Genomic DNA, 23,273 nt, shown 5'->3' on the forward strand with positions numbered 1-23,273 from the left:
GTGTGTTCAACATGGAGGCTCCATCTTTCCTTTTCTTCATCACCAGGTGTACAGTAAGGAACACACAACAGGTAGATAACCCATCTGCTTAATAAAAGCTTAAGATGGGGCGACCAGCTTCTCTGCACGCTATGCAAAATGGCACAACTGGTCTGACCAATCTCTCGTCCCCTGTGTAAATCAGACACTGCCTCTCCAAGCTCATCTATAAACCCCCATCCATTTCACCACAGAACCAGAAGACCCACTTGGGAGCCCCTCTCTTTCTGCAAGAGAGAGAGCTTTTTCTTTTCCTTTCGCCTATTAAACCTCTGCTCTTAACCTCATTCCTTGTGTGCCCAAGTCCTTGATTTCCTTGCCAACGAACCTCAGGTATTATCTAGATGAACGACAATGCTTCATTAGAGCCAAACTCAAGAATTAATATCCTAAAAAGGATATTCAGAAAAAGTCAGTATGGAGAATTCAAGGAGAGCTTCATATCTTTGAATTCAATAACATGAATATTTAAATTTATGTAATTATGTGTGTATTATTCCACATTGCATTAAGAGATCCTTCAGTCCACTGATCCTCAGAGATATGAGATGGTCTTATTGGGTTAGTAATTCACTATAGTTATATAGACTCTGAATATATAGACAGAGTTCTCCAAAATAGAAAAGTAAATACATGTCAATATAATGAGTCTTCAAAAGTAATCCAAATGATACAGTAAATGTAAATGAATGAAACCACATTTATATCACAGAGCTTCATACTAACCGATTTTCATAAATTTACCAAAGTGCTCAAACTAATTACATAACTAGAGGAAAAATGTATATTTACTGTTGTATAACCTAAAATGTGTGTAGCCCTGTTGAGTCTGAGTACAAAGAATAATGTTTCCTCCTCCAATTAATATTATGAAATACAAAAAAATGCATTCATTTTCTCTGATTGACAGCCCCAATTTTGGATATATATTCTAACTAATGGAATATTGCAATACATGACTCAATTACAGTTGTTCAGTTGTCTATTTTGTAAAGTGAGAACAGTTTGAATTATATATGATTTTATTGTGTATGTGTCATGGTATCTCAACTGACAACACTACCATTGGTAAATTTGGCTCTAATGAGAAACTTATCTACATGCATATAACCCTATCCAATTGCTCATTTCCTATCTATTGTTATTTGTGGAAGAAATGGAAATGCCTTCATACTTGCATTTGACACAAGAGTACATTTAAAATTGAATACGGTCTCAAACCAATGGCATATAGGCCACATCTATGCAGTACTAAAGAAACAAATAATCCCTCTATCCCTAAACTCCATCCCTAAAATAATCTTTCTCCACCCCAAAAAATGATTTAAAAAGGGAAAAAAAACAAAACAAGGCTGGTTTCTGATTTCATATAACCAATAAGGTGCTCCCCAAATATTTCATTTTAGCCTTGTCCAAATTTGTGGACAATACCATATTTTATATGACAGTTTTCAGCAAACTAAAGTGAGTTGACAGATTTCAGTTCTTCCATGTGTCTAATTGTTCATGCCAATTGATATGAATTAGGTAAGACCAAAGATAAATACTACACAAATGCTACTGGCCAGCTTTCAGTTAATGAAATAGCAATATAAAGGCAGGCTTGGACTTAATTATTTATCTAAAGAGTCTCAAAATGTTTCACTGCCTAACATTTTCCTATAGTTGGGGTAGCAAGCACTATAGAGAAGAGAACAAAAGAGTATTGAGATGCTCGTTGAAGACTAGATTGTTTTTGTAGTAATGGGTGTTGTCTCACTACTTAGTTGTATGAGTGTATGCAACTTAACCTCTTGGGGCTCAGTTTCCTCATACCTAAAATGAAGAGGCCAAATACGATGATCACCAGCATTCTTGAAGCTCTAACATTACCTGGATATATTGATCAGTCTTTCTGCTACCTTATTAAAGCTGACTCTTCAATTCTTGTGTCATTCTAGCAACTTCTTAGAGACTTTAGGAACATAAATTCTAAGCTAATATTTTTCCAGGCACAATAATCAATATCATGAATTGATATTTACATAGCATTTTGAAACTAGTAAAAATCAAGTAAGTTCCATTAATAAAGATTGGTTCAGGTTTACACAGATATAGATTGAAAGGGATGTTATTCCAAGATTCTGTGACCTAGTGCTATTTCTACTAGACCACACTGCTTCTTCCTCCATGAAAGAAAACAAGCACCAAGCACTACCTGAATATTCTTTATTTTTGCATTTTTTTCAAACTTGAGGTTAAATTAGAAAAATATTATTCCTCTTGTTTGGGGCAAGAGGTTGAGCTACAATGGCATTTTAAAAAATGAAATAAGATATTTTGGACTTAAATATAATGGTTTATATTTAGTTTTCTAGCAGGCAATCACAAAATCCCTTCAAAGATTGTTCAGAAATCCATTCGTGTATGCATGCAATTTGCTGCTGTGCATAGGCAAATTGATTTTTCTATATTCACAGTGATGCATAGTTTGTCATTTTATGAGTAAGCTGCATTGCTGAATTGATATAATCAATAATCACAAAGATTCATTGGCTACCTTTTGTTTTCATAATGCAGTATCTGCAATGAATAACTTGACAGATCATAACTAGTGAAAATATTTGCCATTTATACGAAAAACCATATGTTATTCTGAAAATTACTATTCATTGTTAAATATTCCGACTTAAAAAACATGGTGGTTCAACAGTCAGAAAAATATTACACAGATCACAGCTATTTAAAGATGTCTACAAGAACATGCCATTTTGGTGTATTTCAGAAACCCAAATGCATGGAAAAACCTCTGACCAATGTTATTTTTCAGCATCTCTATCCTCTCTAGCAATCATCCAACATGAATTCATATAGACAAATGGAATGCTTTTGAGAGTTAAACATGATAGAAATTACTTACAAAAGTCTTATTTCATATGGAGAAGGAACTTTAAATTTGACCAAAACATGTGTTAATTTAGCCACATTTAAGTTGTTTTTGAAGTGAGTTTTATTTACTTCTCCTAAGTCATTAAATAAAGTGAAATTGTAATGAAAGGGTTTTTACAATTCTTTAAAATGATTTCATATATTCCTTTCATCATTTTTAGTTTATCCCTGTTAGTGCAACTTAGTATCAAATATAAAATGAAAAATAGCTTTATTTTATATTGACTATATTATTTATGACATGAAAATAGTATCTGCTTGCAATTAAAATTCATTCATATTATGCAAAACCATTTATTAATTCATTCAGTTTTATTCATTCTTTCATTGATTCATTTATTTGTTCAATTATCTAATAAGTATTTATAAGCATCAACTATGTGTCAGATTTTATCCTAAACAGAAAGGTAGGAGTGAACAAAAGTCAAAATCCTTATTCTTATGGAATTTACAATCTAGTGGAAGAAGACAGAAAATAAACAAGAGTATCATGAGGTAATAAACTTTGTCAATATAACTAAAGCAGAATAAGAGCAGAGGGAGTGATATAGTGGGGTTGTGCTATTTTTCATAGCGAGGCAAAAGAGGGCATTTCTGATAAGATGATACTTGAAAAGAGACCCAGATGAAATGAGAGCACAGGCTATAACAAAACTGCATTTTTTTGGTATAATGCTGCTAATCCTCTAATCAGCTTAATATATTCTCTAAATTACACTCAGTAATTAGTAAAAATTAATTTTTGTTGATCAATAGGATGAATGAATTGATTCACTATTATGAGATTCTGTAAGTTGGAAAATGAGGTTGGGTCCTTACATATATTTCACCTCCTTGATTCGTTAACATTTTTAAAATATATAGTTATTTCAGATTAAAAATATAATGAAACAGTAAAAATGTCATTTTGCATCATAATTAATTGAATATTGTTAAATGAATGAATGGATATGAGTTAATTACTAGATACCAGAGTTGGAAGGGCCTATAAGGAATTATGTAAGAATCATACAAACTCTTCAGTAACAGTGATCATTCAATTTTTTTTTTCTTTTTTTGAGACAGAGTCTCGCTCTGTCACCCAGGCTGGAGTGCAGTGGTGTAATCTCAGCTCATTGCAAGCTCTGCCTCCCAGGTTCAAGCAATTCTCCTGTCTCAGCCTCTCAAGTAGCTGGGACTACAGACATGGGCCACCATACCCAGCTATTTTTGTGTTTTTAGTAGAGACGGGGTTTCACCATGTTGGCCAGGCGGGTCTCAAACTCTTGACCTCAAGCGATCTGCCCATCTCAGCCTCCCAAAGTGTTGGGATTACAGGCGTGAGCTGCTTCACCTGGCCTCAGTGCTTTTTTAAAAAAAATTTATTTTAATTGTCCAGGAACCATGAATTTATATCATAAAATAATCTACTTAGTTTTTCAACAGCTTCATTAAATAGAATATTATCCCTTTAATTGAACTGATATTTAGTTCTCTTAAAAGTAGAGAGAACGTCTACCCTTTGGATTTATACAAATATAACTCTGGTGAGCTAGGTAAGGAATGCTCACCCTTAGGTTAGTGACATTCCTAAAGCTGATAATATATGCTACCTGCTGTCATTACTATTCCTGGACTCTCTGGCAAGCAGTATGGGATACTTGAGAAGTAGGTCGTTCACCAAATTAAGCTGCAGCTCTTATTTGCCTCTGGTTCATATTCCATTATAATTCTCAGTAGGTCAATTCCAACTATCCTCATTATGTGTCAAATACCTTTTGATGCCAATAACATCAAGGCTAAAATGATGGTAGGTCAACCCAGTTCATGACAGTACACTTGAAAAGGACATTTTCCATCTTTTTTTCCTGCTTTCTTGATCTCAATCCTGAAAGGTCTAATACCATATTGCTCATTCATAAACATAATGTCTCTTTCACTCACCTTACAACAAGTAAGCAGATGCTTTGCAATGATGAACCTTGATTTTGCTTTGAAAAGCAATGTAGTTATGCTTTATTTTTACCTCATACAAGTGAGGAACTGATGCATATGGTAAGATTTTCTATAACACTAAGTCCATGGCCCATAAAATGTGATTTTAAATGTCAAAAACTTTTTTATAAATAGCATTTTTAAATGGAGTCCATAAATAAGATCTTTCTTTCTTCAAGTATAATGATTTTACTACGATGTTCCTGTTGAGCACACTTTTGATACAACTATGCCTATGGACTCCTATACTGTTTATCCAGTTCTGCTGTCTTGTTCTATTGTGAGATACTTGGAAAGATAGTGAATTCCTCATCCCTGGAGGCATTTTTTAATACTTGGTGAAATCACAGTAGAAGAAGCTCAAGCACTGGATGCAGGATTGAACCCAATGACATTTAATTTCACTGATAACCCAAGATGGTAACATACTCTGCTGTCACTATATCATAATATCTGTTGAGAGGGAAGGGGTAAGGGTTTCTAGACTTTATGTAGACTGTGTGGCAATCCTTTGCCCTCTCAGAGACCTTTTAACATTTCAAACCTATTTTACTTGTTTCCCTAGCTTTGTTTCATTAGGTTGAGACTGTCTGTATCATTGAGACCAGCTCTCATCTGCAGGTAAACAAACTGAGGGTCTCTCAGGGCTTCATTCTACTCTGCCAGCATGAGTTCATTATCATAATGTTTTTCATTCATGTTGGACACATTTCATAGGAGTTAGATCCATTGATTTCACTGGAAAATAATCATTCATATTATTGATTTTGTAGCTCACAGGTTCTGACCATTATCCTTGGGAAAATATACAGCATTGATAGTTACCTGTCAACCAAAGAACATGGAGGTTTTACTCTATCAAATACTGACTAACTCATCTTAAAATAATTGCCAATATTAGCACTCCTTCAGGTAGAAACTCTTAGAAACTAATTTGAAAGAAAAATGAGTAATGGGATCTTTTTGCGTAAATAAAAATTGCTCTGTGTGTTGCCATCTCAGTGAAATGTAGCAATTTACAGCTTTGTTTTTAAGAAAGATCACAGAAAGCAATGAGCAAGAAATTGTTTCCAAAAATGGTCAGTTAGCATTGTTCCCACTTTGATTTTCCATGGTAATGAGTAACATAACTTTTAATCAAAGATTTGCTAGCCAGTCATATTGACAAACACATCCTGAGTTCAATTCTTCAAAACAGAATATAGGCTGCTCTATATGCAAACGAGGGAGAGAAGGCAATATGAACAAGATCAAAATACAAAAAGAAAGAGAGATAACCAAATTCTGCAATAAAGGTGATGAATTTATGGTATAAATCTCTTTGATTTGAGGGCCTATTGAGCAGGAAGCAGGATTCTGTGGGAAAACAAGACGGGTAGTGTATGCATTATATGCTTTAGAATGTGGTGAGAAAAAACTACATAGGGACATTAGCCTATTCAGCCATCCCTGCCACCTCTGGTCCCCTGAGAATTCTAACTGCCTTTGCCAAGTGATTTAGACTTTCAATAATGTCTCTCCATGAACAATGGGAAAATGCAACACAGTGGTCAGCTCGTTTCTGGCAAACCAATGTAAAACTGTTAATGACACAGTACACCAATGACAAGGCTTTGATAATTACATAAAGCCGAGGTCTCCTGTTACACTTTGACTGAAGAACTGCAAAAATAAAGCCACTATGAAAATGACCAAATAAAACATGTTGAAAATGAGGCAGGCGACTTCTCTCGTAGACGACATTAAAAAGCATGAAGAGAAGTTACTGGGATCAATTGACCATAGATTGTCCTAGTGTTGGGCCCTGATAGACAGCTTTGATGTTGAATGGGAAGAAGGGAAAGGAATATGGGTGGTATGACCAGGTCAAGAGCATAGACAAAATCATTCCCCATTTTAGGGCAAACTGTTTAGAGATGAGGGGAGAAGAAAGAATGAAAACAGTTGAACAAATAACTCTCCAGAAATTTCTTCCTCTTTTCAGAATTCTGGTATTGCTTTCTCTTCTTAACCATATTAGTCTCCTATACCCATGTATCTACTCATTTCAGTACATAGTCTGGCCTAAAAGAGAAGTTTGCATTGGCTTTCAGCTATGGGAGTTTGGTTTATACACATTGTTCATACAGAGAGTATGAAACGAGAGAAATATAGGATGAAGAAATATGAGAGTATGCACAATAATAAACATAATAACACATTGCGGTGTCACTGAAGGTATAGGGTTAACAGGTGCAGAGAGACAGAATAACGTTTAGCCAAAGTGCACCTGCTATGGAGTCTCACTACCCTAACTTGAATACTGGATTCATCATTATATGTAAGTTTGATTGGTAACAAGTTCTTTATGTTCTTTGAGCCTCAACCTTCTTGTCTGTAAAATGGTGATAACAATCATGTTTTGCAAAGATTAAACGAGATATGTAAAGCTTTCTTAAAGTGCTTGTACTTTTTAGGCTCTCCATCAATGGTAACTGCCATTAGTAGTAGTGGCAGTAGTAGTAATAGTAGCAGCAGCAGTAGCAGCAGTTGAAGGAGGAGGAAAAGGTAGAAACATTTTCTTGCAGGATGTAGTAAGCTACTTTCATGTTGCATTTGTAGGATCCAGAATTAAAAGTGGAACAACCCAGCCAAAAATACATAGGAAGATGACAAATTACAAGGTTGAGCTTAAGGGCTGCCAAATTGCCTTGCCTCTAGGAAACGACAGCAACATAAAAGACTATATCCTGCAGCAGCCAGTAGACTGGGAAAGCCAGAACCATCAGTGCCTTCTGCCACAGGCCAGCCAATCCACCAGGTACCAGAAGCATGTTCCTCTGCAACCACTGTGTCATAAATAACAGGAACAAGGAGTATAATTTTGATGTCAGATTGGACCACAAACACACATAATGTATACAAATTAAAAATGTTAATTTAATACTGTTATCTGTCATCCAACAAAATGAATCCAGCAAAAATGCTGGATTGTTTCTATATAATCCAATGGTTGATTTTTCAAATACTATTACTCTCTTTTCTATCACTAACAGAGGAATTTATTTTGCTGATTTTTTTTAGACTTCACAGTCTTTGATATTTTCTTTTTTTCTTTAACAAATGTTCATACCACTTTTGATGTCCTCTGCCACATTGCATGTACAGAATTTTTGTTTTACTTCTGCAATGAGCTAAAAATATACTCATCAGCAAAATATACGTAGCTTTAACTTCATGTATCTGTTTTATCCTGAGGAATACAAAAATTGTTGAAAATAAATAAGATGCTTTCATACTAAGGTGAAATTTATCTGTTTCCTTTTCAAAGAAATACGTGTGACATCCATCTTTTGGAGAAAAGTAAAGCAGAAAGGTAAGATAAAATGGCCCTTGCTGGCTTATTTATTCACGGAACGTATGGGGATGGAGTCACATAAACTAGCACCTTAACAGTCTGTATTGTTGCATAAGAGGCAAACTTAGAATCCAAGGTAGTAGGAGAAAAAGTAAGAGGATGGGGATAGATTTTAACCTGTCCTTGAAAAATAAGTTCTCTATCTCAAGAGTGACGCATTTATCTCCATTTAAAAGGCGAAGGGTGAGTCTGAGTATGTGACCTTGGGAGACATGCTGAATAATTTTTAATGTCCACAGTATATGGCATATCAACAATAATAGCTTCATTTGAATTACCAAGAAAAAAATAGCAGCTGAATCCATATATCAAAGAATGACTCATTCTGGATTTTCTTACTATATTTTCCATTAAACACCCTCAGCTTCATGTAATCAAACTCTCTCCATCACATGGGGATGCTTTTTTAGGACACTTTCCCGAAAAATAGATACCTCCTCTCTGAACCTCCAGTTTTGGGGAAATAATTATGTTGTATTTTGTATAGCTCATGTATTTCTTTGTTTGTTTTCTTTTCTTTTTTCTTTTTTTTTGTTTTTGTTTTTGAGACAGAGTCTCATTCTTGTCACCCAGGCTGAAGTGCAATGGCGCAATTTCGGCTCACTGCCACCTCAGCCTCCCGGGTTCAAGCAATTTGCTTGGCTCAACCTCCCAAGTAGCTGGGATTACAGGCACCCATCACCATGCCCTGCTAATTTTTGTATTTTCAATAGAGACGGGATTTCACCATGTTGGCCAGGCTGGTGTTGAACCCCTGACCTCAGGTGATCCACCCACCTTGGCCTCCCAAAGTGCTAGGATTACTGGCATCAGCCGCCTTGCCCAGCCAGCTCATGTTTTTAATAGGCTGTTTGTTTTAGTTTCCATAAACTTAGTGGGTTAAAACAACATAAATTTATTATCCTCTAGTTCTGGCAGTCAGAGTATGCACTGGAGTTCACTGGACTAAAATAAAGATGTTGGCTGAGCTGCATTTTTTTCTGGAGATTTTGGAGGAAAATCTATTTTCTTTGCTTTCCCAGCTTCTAGAGGCCATTCTCATTTTTTGGTTCGTGATCCTGTTCCATGGTCAGGGCCTGCAATGGCTGTTCAAGTCTATCTCACATCACATAACTCTCACACTGATTGTTCCCTTTATTCTTCCACATTTAAGGACCCTTGGGATTCCACTGGGCCCATCTGGATAATGCAGGATAATTGCCCCATCTTGAGGTCAGCTAATTAGCAACTTTAATTCCATCTGCTACGTAAATTCCCAGCCGTGTAATACAGCACAGTCACAGGTGATAGGGACTGAGGTGTGGACAACCTTGAGAAACCATTATTCTGTCTGCTGCACTATTCCAGATGTTAAGCCCAGTGTTTCTCTCAGTTAAACTTCACCCAATACTGCTTATTATTCTCCCTGGAACCACATGGAAGAGGTGTAATTCATCTTCCACAAGGCACTCTGGAATAGGTAAAGACATCTCCCATGTTTCCTTAGCCTCCAAGTATATCAGGTATTTTAATCACTTTGTGGATCATGCAGTTTTGCATCTTTTCTCTGTCCAGAAATAAATAACTACAACAAAAACAATACGTAAAATTTATTGAGCAATGTGCTAGATTGAGTAAATGTAGACATACAGTTACTCATTTGCAAGATTTTCACATTGAACTATCACAAAACCACAATGGATTTTGTGCTCCTATTGTCTGCATTGTATAAATGCAAGCCCTGTGAGATTCAGAGGGTCAATGTCACTCACCCAAGATTACAAAGACAGAAGAAATCAGAGGTGCAACTTGAGCTCAGGTCTGCCTTACTATAGAAGTTGCTCATTTAACCATATGCTATACTAAGGGATATATCCTATTTTGACAGTGCTTCTCTAAAATTATAGTTCCTAGCACTCAATGTCATGTCTCAGACATTTTCTCTGCAATGTATGAAACAATTTTGTCCTAGAAATAGGTCAACGAACCACTGAATTTTGAACAGCAGAAACATAGAAATAGAGACTTGGTCTGCTCAAAAACAGTTCTGCTAGGAGAAATGATATTATACTTCTCTATAAAACCAAGGGTTCATGGAGTGGGCAAGGAGAAAAAATATATATATCTCTAAACAGTTCAGCATTTACATTAACTATGTTGAAGCATAATTATCCTTTTTAACAACAATCTTATGCAAATTATTTCAGTCACAACATTTTTAATGCTGAATTTGGCTAACATATACAAGCCTATATACAGAACTTTATCAAAGAGTCAAATTCAAAATAAATATTAGATCTTAAAATGTTACTAGCATAATTAATTTTTGCCAAAACTCACCTGCACTTAGAAGCAATTCATCTTAACTAGCTCTACTCAGTTTCTTAAGAGCAGAAATAAAACATGTGGGTATTTTTTTTAATAACTCTTACTCCCTAGTAAGACAAAACACATTTGTTTTATTCTTATGCCTGAAATATCTCGTGTAGATTCTTAAGATTGTAACAAACCTGGAAATTAGGAGGGAGATTTGCCTTCTGATCCTCTTTCCTTAGCAGAAAGAGAATTGTGGGAAATATTTTTGCCAATAATTTATTTTCTTTGATGTATAAAAAAAAATGGAGGCAGTAAGGGGGTGGTCCTAACCCTCAGTATATATAATTTGGCTCTAGGCATGTAGAAATCAAAAGGGAGCATAAATGTGGTCTCTGACATCGAAGCTCTATATCATGAAAGGACACAAATTTAAAGCCAGTGATGATATAATTCAGTGAAAGAAGCACACAGCTTCCAAAAATCAGTTCAAGTCTTTCCTCTTGTAACATTTGAATAAATACTCTGCATTTCATTCAGTGGTTTATTTAAACATAGTTATTGAGTACCTGCTGTGTGCCAGGTACTATGCTAGGTATACCGAGGATTTAAATGAATTGTTTTTTAGGGATACAATTTTTCTCTCATTATGAAAAGCACAGTCTAGTAAGTTGAAGAAAACAAGTAAAATATATCTTATTACATAGTAGATGGTATTAAGTGTTAAGAAAAAAACAAAAAACAGGAAATACGGGAAGGAAGTATAGATTGAAGGAATCAGTTTTTGAAAGGGTGACCTGGAAAAGCCTTCCTGAAAAGAAAGCATTTGAGCAAAGACCTAAAGGAGCTGAGGGGTTATACCATGTGAATAACTGGGGAGAAAGAATAGTAAGTAGAAATGCCACTGAGTGGGTGTGTGCCTGAGGTCTTCAAAGAAAAGCAAGAAGACAAGTGTGGCTGGAACAAAGAATGAGATCTGAAAGGAAGCGGTTAGGTTGATGGGTTGGATCACGTAAGACTTTGTAGATATTTGCAAGGACTTTGGCTTTTAGCCTATGTAAGATAAAATTCACTGGAATATTTTGATTAGGGAATGAACTTTATGACTTATATATTAACAATATCACCATAGCTGAATGGGAGAACAGGGTGGGATCAGGGGCTGCCATAATCTAGGGAAGAAACCATGATGGCATAAATCAAGCTGACAGTGGTGGAAGTGGTGAGAGTTTTTGACTTAAGTGTAGATTTAAGGTTAGAGCCCATGTGATTTTTTTTATGCATTTGGAGATGAAGCATGAGATAAAATAAATGGTGAAGGATGACTTCAAGAATTGGGGTTTCAGGCCAGGCGCGGTGGCTCACGCCTGTAATCCCAGCACTTTGGGAGGCCAAGGCGGGCGGATCATGAGATCAGGAGATTGAGACCATCCTGGCCAACATGGTGAAACCTGATCTCTACTAAAAATACAAAAATTAGTCAGGCATGGTGGCATGTGTCTGTAATCTCAGCTACTCAGGAGGCTGAGGCAGGAGAATCACTTGAACCCAGGAGGTGGAGGTTGCAGCGAGCCGAGATCATGCCACTGCACTCCAGCCTAGGTGACAGAGCAAGACTCTGTCTCCAAAAAAAAAAAAAAAAAAAAAAAAAAAAAACAGAATTGGGGTTGCAGAAACTGAGAGGATTTACTATATGTCTATGTGTCTATGTAAATGAGGAAGGCAATAGGTGGCACAGATGTTGGATGGGACAAGCATGAGCTCAACTTTGGGAGACGTTAATTTTGAGATGCCCATTACACATCTAAGTTGACATATCAAGTAGGCATTGAGATATATGAGTCACAAGTTCAAGGGAAAGGGTCCAGACTTAAGATACACATTTGGCATTGTCACTTTCTGTAAAGAGTTGGTATTAAAAGCCATGCAGTAGGGTATCTTCCTGCCGAAGTGTGTTATTTAGCTCCAAGGCTCTGTTTTTGATGTTGAGGAGGAACCAGCAACGAAGGCAGAGGAGAATCAGCCAAAGAATTAGGAGGAAGTAAAGGATGTTTCACATACAGGGTAGTGTAATCAACTGTCTCAAATGCTAAACTGACATAAAAACATTCCATGGGATTTATCCATGCGACATGCATTGGTGAACAGGACAAGAAGCATTTTGATTAAGTGGTGGGAGCAAAGGTCAATTGCAATGGGTTTAAGAGAGAATGGATAGGCAGGAATGGAAGCAATTTTTTTTTGTCAAAAGTTTCCTTAAAAAGAGGGAGTAAAGAAATGAGGCAGCCACGGAGGGGTAAAAGAAGGGCCAGATGGTTTTCTTTATAAGTTTACTTTTTAAAAAGAAGTTATCTTTAAAGTCTGTAGCAATAAAAGCATATGTGTCCTCAAATAAAAAAATGACATTTGAAGATATAGGAGAGAATGGTAAGATTTTCTGTCAACATAACTTAAGTAAGCAAGAGGGTTTAGAAACTAATGTCAAGTGGATTAGCCTTGGCTAGGAGCAGGGACAGCTCATCCACTATAAAAGGAAAGGAAGCATAATATATAGACACCGCTGTTGGTAAAGTTGCAGATGTGGAGTGGAGACTGTGGAAGTTCCCTCTGATGGTTTTTATTTTCTCATTGTTAAAGAACAAGGTAATTAGATGGAGGTTGAAGATGGAGGATGAGGTGACAAAAGGTAAATGAGAGAGGGTAGAAATTATGATACAAAAGAGTGTAAGCATGGATGGAGTCAGGAAATGTGCTATAATTATCAGTCTTGAAGACTCATTTAAGGTTAATAATCATGAACTTAAAGTGATAAGATTTAGGATGGTTCTGTGTTTTCTGGTTATGTTCAGCTGTAAGATGTAAGTGGGAGTAAATGGCAGATTGGATTTATTATGTGTGGTAAAGTGGGAAAAGCCAAGAAAGTTGAGGATGCATGTAATAGAATGTTATAAAAATTCACCATGGGTTTTATTCCAAGTAATAGGCTCTCAGTGTGGGTCTAATTTTCATTGCAGTGGTCATTTGGTAATGTCTGGAGACATCCTTGGTTGTCACAACCGGGTGGGCGTGGTACTGATATTTAATGGGTAGCTTTTGGGGATACTGCTTAAACATCTTATAACACACAAGTCAGTCCCTACAACAAAGAAATGCTCAGTCCACATGTAAGTGTTGCAAGGATGAGAAACCTTGAGCAAAGAAAAAGGAAATGAGGATATCAGGAGAAGGACAAATGAAGTAGATCCTGGTGAGACAGAAGAACTGCTGGACTTGGGTTAGTAAAACGAGTAAACTGCAAGTAGAATAGTTTTGTAGCCAAAGAATAGAATACTTGAAATTGAGTTTATATAGAAAATGTACATATTGGTGATGACAATATCACCAAGTGACTAAAGTAGGGTGGAAGACAATATGATTAAAATAGAGAACAACAAGGAAATAAGAAGCAAGGGTAGAGGAGGGACCACTTTTGTGGATATTGACTTCATGGAGAATAATAACAGAGAAAGCGTGGGAGACATTGACGGTGAGTCAGCGGTGAAATCTTGAGGAAATAAGGAAATAACCCAGGAACTTCCAGATGACTGACAAGGGTGGTTGAATTAGAAGGTAACATATTAAAAGCTGGAAAGTTTAGAGAGAAAAATTACATGGAAGTAGCAGTGAAGAACAAGAAGATCATCAATTCTACTTTTATTTTTGTAGAGATGAAGTCTTGCTTTATTGGCCAAGCTGTTCGCAAATCCTGTCTTTAAGCGATCCTCCCCACTCGGCAACCACACTTTTAAGCTTAAGAATAATGGGTGCAGAAAGAATGTAGCCACTATTATCATAAGGCTTCAGGGGAAAAGGGATTCTGGGGAATGGGGGACTAGGAAGTTTGAGTAAAGGAGTGAAAAGCAAACATTATGAAAGACAATATAGAGGATTTTACTAACGATTGATTGTAAGGTTTCAGAAGTTAGGAAAATAAAGATAGGGTCAAAAGTGGAATGTGCAACGCAGTGTGGAGAGGAAAGGACATGAAGGATGATTTGGGAGTGCTGGATTTCTTTTTGTGACTTATATAATAAAGAGGGGAAAATTGTAGATAGTTACACTTATTTCAAAGCAGAAAATGGGGGAGGGGTCAAAATGGGAAAGTGTAAGAAATTTGCCAAGATTTGCAGAGTTCTGAGCTCCCTCTTGACCTCTTGATAAGAGATGTGGAGTCTTATCCCTGCCAGTTCACATGCTGTTGACACAGCACCATATTAGAAACTGTCGATTTTCTGGATTAGGAAATAATTTACTCCAGTAACCCTTGCTCTTTGAGCTGAAAGAAATTTGTGAATTTTAATGGCTGGGATTTCAACAATAGAGTGGCTTAGTTATTCTGAAAGATATTTCTTCTTCAAAAACATTAAATCCTTAATAAAAGAGTCTCTTTAATCATTTCTGGGTTCACAATATGTAAGAACGGTATGCTGAAACCAAAGTGAAAAATTGTGAGCAGCAAGCAAATAGCAAGCTTGAGATGGAAACAAGGAAAATGGTAATATCAAGAGTGCAAACTATCGGGAGAACAAAACTCAGACAAGCATCAAGGTGAAGGTGAAAGTGAAACGGCTATGGAAGTTCAGGAGATAATTAAGGTATTCGATTAACATTTTAATTAAGAAGCATGGTAAAGATTGTGATGGTAACTACTAAAATAATACACCCGTCTGGGACGCTGGGCCCATGGTCACAAGGCCTCAGCCTTGGGGCCTCGCCCTGCTCTAGGCCAAGCGCGGTGGCTCACGCCTGTAATCCAGCACTTTGGGAGGCTGAGATGGGCAGATCACAAGGTCAGGAGATTGAGACCATCCTGGCTAACACGGTGAAACTCCATCTCTGCTAAAAATACAAAAAAATAGCCGGGTGTGGTGGCACACGCCTGTAGTCCCAGCTACTTGGGAGGCTGAGGCAGGAGAATCGCTTGAACCCGGGAGGCAGAGGTTGCATTGAGCCAAGATTGCACCACTGCACTCCAGTCTGGGTAACAGAGTGAGACTCCATCTCAAAAAAAAAAAAAAAAAAAATAGACATACAAAATGTAATTTCTAAAACTTTAGGGGTAGGGAGGAAAACGGAAAAATAAAACAAGCAAACAGTAACTTAATAAATCAAAACCAATGAATATCTAATGGGGTATATTCCCCATGTCTTTTATTTTCTGTAATTTGATGCTTTGACATCTGAGGCTTTTCTACCCCTGAAGGGACTGCCCCTTCCAGTGTTAGCCAATCCCCAGAGACAGTAAATAATTCACCCATGAATGTGCTCTTCAAATGCAAACCAACCAGTCTAGAATCTAAAACCCAACCACCTCCTTTATTGGGCTTCCACATTATGGGTCACCATCCACCTGCCATAATCACCCAAGGATCAGACAATTAGCTAGAGCCCCTAAGCCCACTGAAATTATTCAGAATAGCCAGTCTTAAACTCAATTAACCTGCCTCACCTGTTCCTTCTTATGGACACCACATTAAAGGCTCTTGCCAACAATTTTCCCTCTCTGCCTCTTCACCAATCCTAGTACATCCCTGCTTGGCCTCTCATGGCACAGCACAGCCCTTCCTCTTGGGATCTGAGTAACAAACTATCTTTTCAATAGCAGTCATCTCTCCTGATCTCTTGGGTAAACCATACATAAGTAATGGTAAGACCTACATTTTAAAACAAAAGGAAATAATAAAAATAAAAAAGCAAAAAAAATCAGACTCTAGAAACAAATCCAGATACATTCACAATCATAATAAATGAATAAATCTTCTAGTTAAAAGAAGACAAATTGGATAAAAGAAAAGTAAATCTAGCTATGTGCTCTTTGCAAAAGTAGATCAAAAGTATAAGGGTCAGCCAGGTGTGGTGGTGCATGCCTGTAATCCCAGCTACTCGGGAGGCTGAGGCAGGAGGAGCCCTTGAACCCGGCAGGTGGAGGCTGCAGTGAGCCAAGATCGTGCCACTGCACTCCAGCCTGGGCAAGAGAACAAGAGTCCGTCTTAAAAAAAAAAAAAGTATAAAGGTATGGAGCAGTTAATGGTAAAAGAATGAAGGAAAAAAAATACATATATATATACACATATACATATACACACACCAGGCAGGCAAGTATTATCCAAAAGAAAACTCAGGTATGTATCAATATAAGACTAAAAGTTAAGAGAGAAATTTTACAGGATTATAGAAAGTTAATAGTTAACTAGAAAAACAACTAAACATCTATGCCCCTAGTAAGATAGCTTCAAAATATAAAAAGACTTAATAAATGTTTTATATATATATATATATATATATATACATACATATAAATACACACACATATACACAAACACACAGATATATGTCTGTATATATAATTTTTTTGGAATATGCCTGTAAAGCCCAGATAATAATTGTTATTGTCAGAGGATACTGTATACTACCTCACTACTTCCAAGTGTAGTTCACAGAGCAGGAACATTAGCATCACCTATGAGCTTGCTAGAACTATAGATTTCACACTTGCCCTAGATTTCCTGAATCAGATTATATGCACATAAATACTTGGGAAGCAATTATCTGTCACATGCTATTTTTTAAAATTATTTTTCTTCCTCTGAGTAACTGGTTTTTTTTCACTTTATTTTTACCTGTAAAATCTTATGTAAGACTTCTGATTTTCCCTCCCACATGTAAGGAGTTTGGAAGTTATCACTTCACCCTAACAAATAAAAAGCTGAACTAACTAAAACTCAACAACTCTTTTTACATCAAGCAGAGAACTGTGATCTCTGAGGAGGATCTCTGGAAGGGCAAACCACTGCCTCTCCCCATAGCTGGAGGAGCAGACAGGCAGACTCAGGTACTCACAACTTATCAGAGTGGAGACCCATGAACAAAAACTTTTGCAAGAGCTAGTAACATGACAGGAAAATCTGAACTGCAACTGACAAACTGCTGGAGGTTCAGTGTGGATACAAAATTGTTATCTAATATATACAAGAAGTCTTAAAACTTAGCCATAAGAAAAAGAACAATGCTGCTGTAGTCTGAGTGCTTGTGTGGCCCCCACTCCCATCCCCCTAAATACGTATGTTGAAAAACTAATCACCAATGTGATAATAGGAGGTGAAATCTTCGGGGGGTGATTAAGTCATGTGGGCAGAGACTACATGACTAGATTGGTACCCTCAAAAAAGAGACCACAGAGAGCTACCCAGTCTCGTCCACAATGTGAAACAGTGAGAAGCTGCAGGCCAGGAAGTGGGCCCTCACCAAACACCAAATCTGCTATACCCTTAATGTTGAACTTCCCAACCTTAAAAATGGTGAGAAATAAATTTCTGTCGTTTATAAGTCACCCAGTCTACGGTATTTTGTTACAGCAGCCCAAATGGACAAACCTCACTTTAAAACAGGCAAAAGACCCAGACAACTTACTAAAGAAAATACATAGATAGCAAAGAAGCATCTAAAAAGATACTCAACATTATATGTCATCAGAGAATTGCAAATTAAAACAACAATGAAATAACACTACACAGCTATTAGAATGGCCAAAATCCAAAACACTGACAACACTAACTGCTGGTAAGGATATGGAGCAACAGCAATTCTCATTCATTGCTGGTGAAAATGCAAAAAGGTACTGCCACTTTGAAGGTAGTTTGGCAGTTTCTTACAGAAATAAACATACTCTTACTATATAATCCAGTAATGGCACTCCTTGGTATTTACCCAAATGAGATGAAAACTTACATTCACACACAAGCCTACACATGAATGTTTACAGGAGGTGTATACAGAATTGACAAAACTTGGAAGCAACCAAGATGTCCTTTGGTAGGTGAGTGGAAAAATAAACTTGGTATATCCAGACAAGGGAATATCATACAGTGCTAAAAAATAAATAAACTATCAAGCTATGAAAAGACATGGAGAAACCGTGGATGCATATTGCTAAGTAATGGAAGTTAATGTAAAAAGGCTACATACTATATGATTCCAACTGTATGCCAGTCTGGAAAAGACAAAACTATGAAGATAGTAAAAAGGTCAGCTGCTGCCAGGAGTTAGAGGGAAGCAGGAATGAATATGGAAGAACACAGAGTATTTTTAGTGAAGTGAAAATACACTGTTTGAAACTATAATGGTGGATACATGTCAAAAGCCATAGATTTTTTTTAACTCATAGATTTTATAACACTGAGAGTGAAAACTTAATGTGAACTATGGACTTTGGGTGAGAATGATGTGTCAATGTAGGTTCATTGATTGTAACAAATGAACCAACCACTCCAGTGTAGGATGATGATATGGAAGAGGCTGTGTGTGGGAGGGAGGGGACAGACAGTACATGGGAACACCTTATACTTCTCATGCAATCTTGCTGTGAACTTAAAACTCCTCTAAAAAATAAAGTCTATTTAAAAAGTCTTGTATAAGATTTAATCAACTATTATCTTTTAAAATGTATTTATAAATAAGTCAGTTAGGATGTATCAGTGTTAATTGTTCAAATAACAAAACTAAGAAATAGGAAAATAAAAGAGCCATGTATCTATTGGTTTTGGCATCTGAGCAAGAAAAATATTTTAACAATAAAGACAGTTAACTTATATGTAAGTCTCATGTTTGCAGTTGATAAAGGTGATTTCACTTTAACCTTACTTCATTAACACTATATATGAGCTACAAAGATAATCGAATGTTGTTTGTTTATTTCAAGGTAAAGAAACTGAGGCTCAGTGACTTGCCCAAAATGCAAAGATAATAAATAGAAGAATTGAAAAATCTTTACAATATGTTCATTACCTTTTTACTATACAAGATAGCAGATAGAAGACAAGCTCAAAAGCCTAAGATTGCAATTATTCCTAGGGTGCTTTTGACAGTAAGGGATGATTTGTATAAAATAATTTTTTAAAAAAATGTTTAACTTAACTTTATATTTACTAGTGGGAATATTTAGTTACCAACGGTAACAGGTAATGTAAAATGATTATTTGGATGTTCTTGGTAGGAAAATAATAATCACATTATAAAATCAGGGCTGAATTTAATTTTGAAGTCTTAAAATGGAAGTTAAATGGTAGCACAAAGAGCATTCAACATTGAGCTAAGAGCTTACAAATTCACAGTCTGATTCATTAATTCACAGCCTGGCATTCATCATATGCCTCAGTTTCCACTCTGTAAAATGACAAGATTGAGAGTAAATGATCCCAAGGTTTCCCTCTAGCTCTAAAAATTCTCTATTCTGCACACATATGGCACTATATTTTAAAGCACATACGCCTCCTGTGAAGTGAAATAAAGTGAATAAGCACACGGAAATGGTACGGTGATTAAATTTACTCAGAGCTAAAAATCATTGCATATTAGCCTTACATATGAAAAAAAAACTTGACTAATGAATCAAACTTGAAGGATCTGTCAGTGTGCAGTTGTTTGACACAGAACAAGGACTGTGAAATTGCTGATTTTATCCCAGTGATTCTTGTATGGGTCACACACAGCAAAAAGAGGGGTCAGTAAGTTTCACATTCATATATATAAGCTTGTAAAAGGAAAGAAAAAGGAGTTTCTTTTGACATTGCAATGAACTATATGAGTCTTAATGAACATTACTGTTAAGGCACCCAAGCAAATTAGCGTTTCCCCACATGCCTTAGCTTGCAAGAAATTAAATTTGGCCTAAATAAATTAAAGCAGTGGACCTGACACATCTGATCATTTCTACCTCTCAATTATTTTTCCTTTGGTCAGGTTTTCTTGGAAGAAATTATTCATTTTGAAATGTTGATATTCTGGTTGGATCTATCTCTGTGCTGTATTTTTGCAGCTGGAGAAGCTATGGACTGTGGATTTCAAGTGTGACACTCACTAAGAAACCCAAGGAGTCAAGAACACTATTGCATTCGTGGGGATAATTTCAGAATCAGGTTTATCCGGAACCTGGATATTCATACCACTACTAAGAAGTGTTGCAATTCTTTTAGGTATGATGAGAAGGCTTTTAATTATAATGGAATCCAGTAGTCAGTGGAAAACTAAAGGCATTTGCGGAAGCTGTCCAAAGATAATACACCACAAAGTAATGATATGTAACAATAATCAGATTAAAATTAAAAGTAAAATCATATATATAAATGAAATATTAATTATGCCCTGCATGATACTTAGCAAAACCAATGTCAATGTTTATGATTACGGTGAACATTTGTCAACACTCTACAGAAACTTCCCAGCCAAATGAGTGAACATATGCAAAATAAAATGGCATAAACCAGCATTTCTCAATCTTGGCACTATTGACACTTTGGGCCAGATACTGTTTTGTGCGATGCTGGATGTTCAGCAGCATCCCTGGCCCCTAGCCATTACATGAAAATAGCACCACTACCTCTAAGTCGTGAAAACCAAAACTATCTACAGACATTGGCAAATGTCTTGAAGAGGGCAAAATCGCCCCTAGGTGGGAACCACTGGCATGAACAAGGATTCCAGAGAACTGAGGTAATCACCCCTAAGAGGAAGCTTCCTGCATCATATGTGTCAATTAGGCAATGAGATGTGGCTAATCTGACACTGGGGCTGCCACTAACACTAATGACTAAGGAAGCGTATATTGAAATATGCTGGTTTATTTGTTTCTGTTGCTCCTTGTCCTGAGCTCCAACATTATAAATGAGAGTGGTGGTTTTATTTATTTTGAACTTGCCTTTGTTGTGACACCATCCATTAAAATGCACAGTAAAAAGCCTTAGAATTTCAGACCCGTAACTCTCACTTGCATACCTAGCCGATTGGCGCAATATATAATACAGAGCGGTTCATTGCACGCTTAAGGAAGCGTAACCTATATAGGAGGGGGATGAGGGGCATGCCACATTGTTACTGTAAGGATAAATAGTATAAATCTTTCCTCACCAGATTCCTCCAACAGGATGAATAAAGGTACAGATAAGAAACAAAGGGATAGCTGTCAATTATTGGATTTTGTGAGTCTTTGGCAATGTATTAAACTCTGTCGTACATTTACTAAACATAATCTCCCTCCACTCAAGAACTAAACATTAGAGGGCAGAGATTTTCATGAATACATACTTGAGGCAGAGAAGGAAAACAAAGGGAAGGGATAGCTTATCAATATGAAGGATGGAGAAGTGCTGTAGTAAGGTACCTGGGAATAAGTGCTGTGTCTAGATTTGCTTCACATTTTGATAAAATAATTCAGGTTCTCACATAATAACTGATCTAAAAGAAATCATGTAAAATGGAATATGCAAGTTTACAGACGATATTAAATTCTTCTGGATAGTAACAAGCGAATGAGGATAGGCTGTGGAAAGAACTCGCAAGGATATAAGGGAGAGTTTAGAAACAACATATACGCCTCTGTTACTGCAGTTGTTAAGTGGTACGTTTAAAGAAAAATTGAAATGATTCTTATGAAATAATACTAAGCTATCCATTTTCACTATGGAGATGAGCTAATGTGATTTTTAAAATTTGAAATTATTGGGCCAATGATTTCCAAAGACAGAAAATATCAAGAAGGATATTTTTAAATGGAATAAAATACAGATAATAACAACAATACCAAAAAAAAAAATTCTCTTAACCTCCAACAGAATTATGTTAAATCTAAACCTGTAAGATTTTGTTCCTATGATTGTCTCTTGTAAAAGGCATAATGAAATTTATAATATTTTTGCAATAAGCAATAAATATGATCAAGAAATTTAAGAATATTTACATATGAATAGACTGCAAATGAGAATTCTTTCCATCTGCATGGAAGGATTTATTCACCATTTATAAAGTCATAGAAAATATGATAAAAATAGATATGAATTTTTCAATAAGGCCTAGAATAAAAGAACTTGCAGATACTCATTATAGCTTGGAAGAGGTAACAGAGGAAAACAATACCAGATCTGACATTATACCTAACATATTGTGCAGGCTGGAAAATGCCCTAATTCAATGTACATCAAACACACATTTATTCTTTCATTCATTTATTAGACTGTTAGCCATGGTCACATTGAATTTTATATTAGAGAGAATATTATGCCTTCCTGCAAAGTAAATATGAAATATTTATAAGAAACAAATGAGATAATAGATGTGATACATGGCTAAACTGTAAAATGCAATGCAAATATGAGCTAAATTGTGATTGCTTATGGGTCAGAACTTGACTTTGACTATGGTAGATTATTCAATGACCACAAATTATTCTCTACCCTCCCTACATCCACACCCTTTAGGAGGCACCCCTACACTGACTCTGAGCTTGGCCTTGTGACTTGCTTTAACCCATGGATCGATAGCAAATAGAGACTTGGAAAGCACTTTGCATTGAGGCTTGCCTTCTTTTGTTCTGCTTGGAATTCTTCCACTACCATGTTAAGAAGCCTGGGCTAGCCTGCTGAAAAAAGACATGTGGCTCCTCTCCTCATCATACCAGCCACAACCAACAATGGTAAAACATGTGAGTGAGAACATGTGAAATCTTCCAAACCTAATAAGTGATCATAGACACATTTGCAGATCCAGTAGACATCAGTCAAGGAAACCAAAATCAGAATGTTCCAATTTGCCCAAAGAATCATGGAGCTGAATA

The sequence above is a fragment of the Homo sapiens genome, chromosome 3 (genome assembly GCF_000001405.40).
Source record: "Homo sapiens chromosome 3, GRCh38.p14 Primary Assembly".
In the NCBI taxonomy this organism is placed as follows: Eukaryota; Metazoa; Chordata; class Mammalia; order Primates; family Hominidae; genus Homo; species Homo sapiens.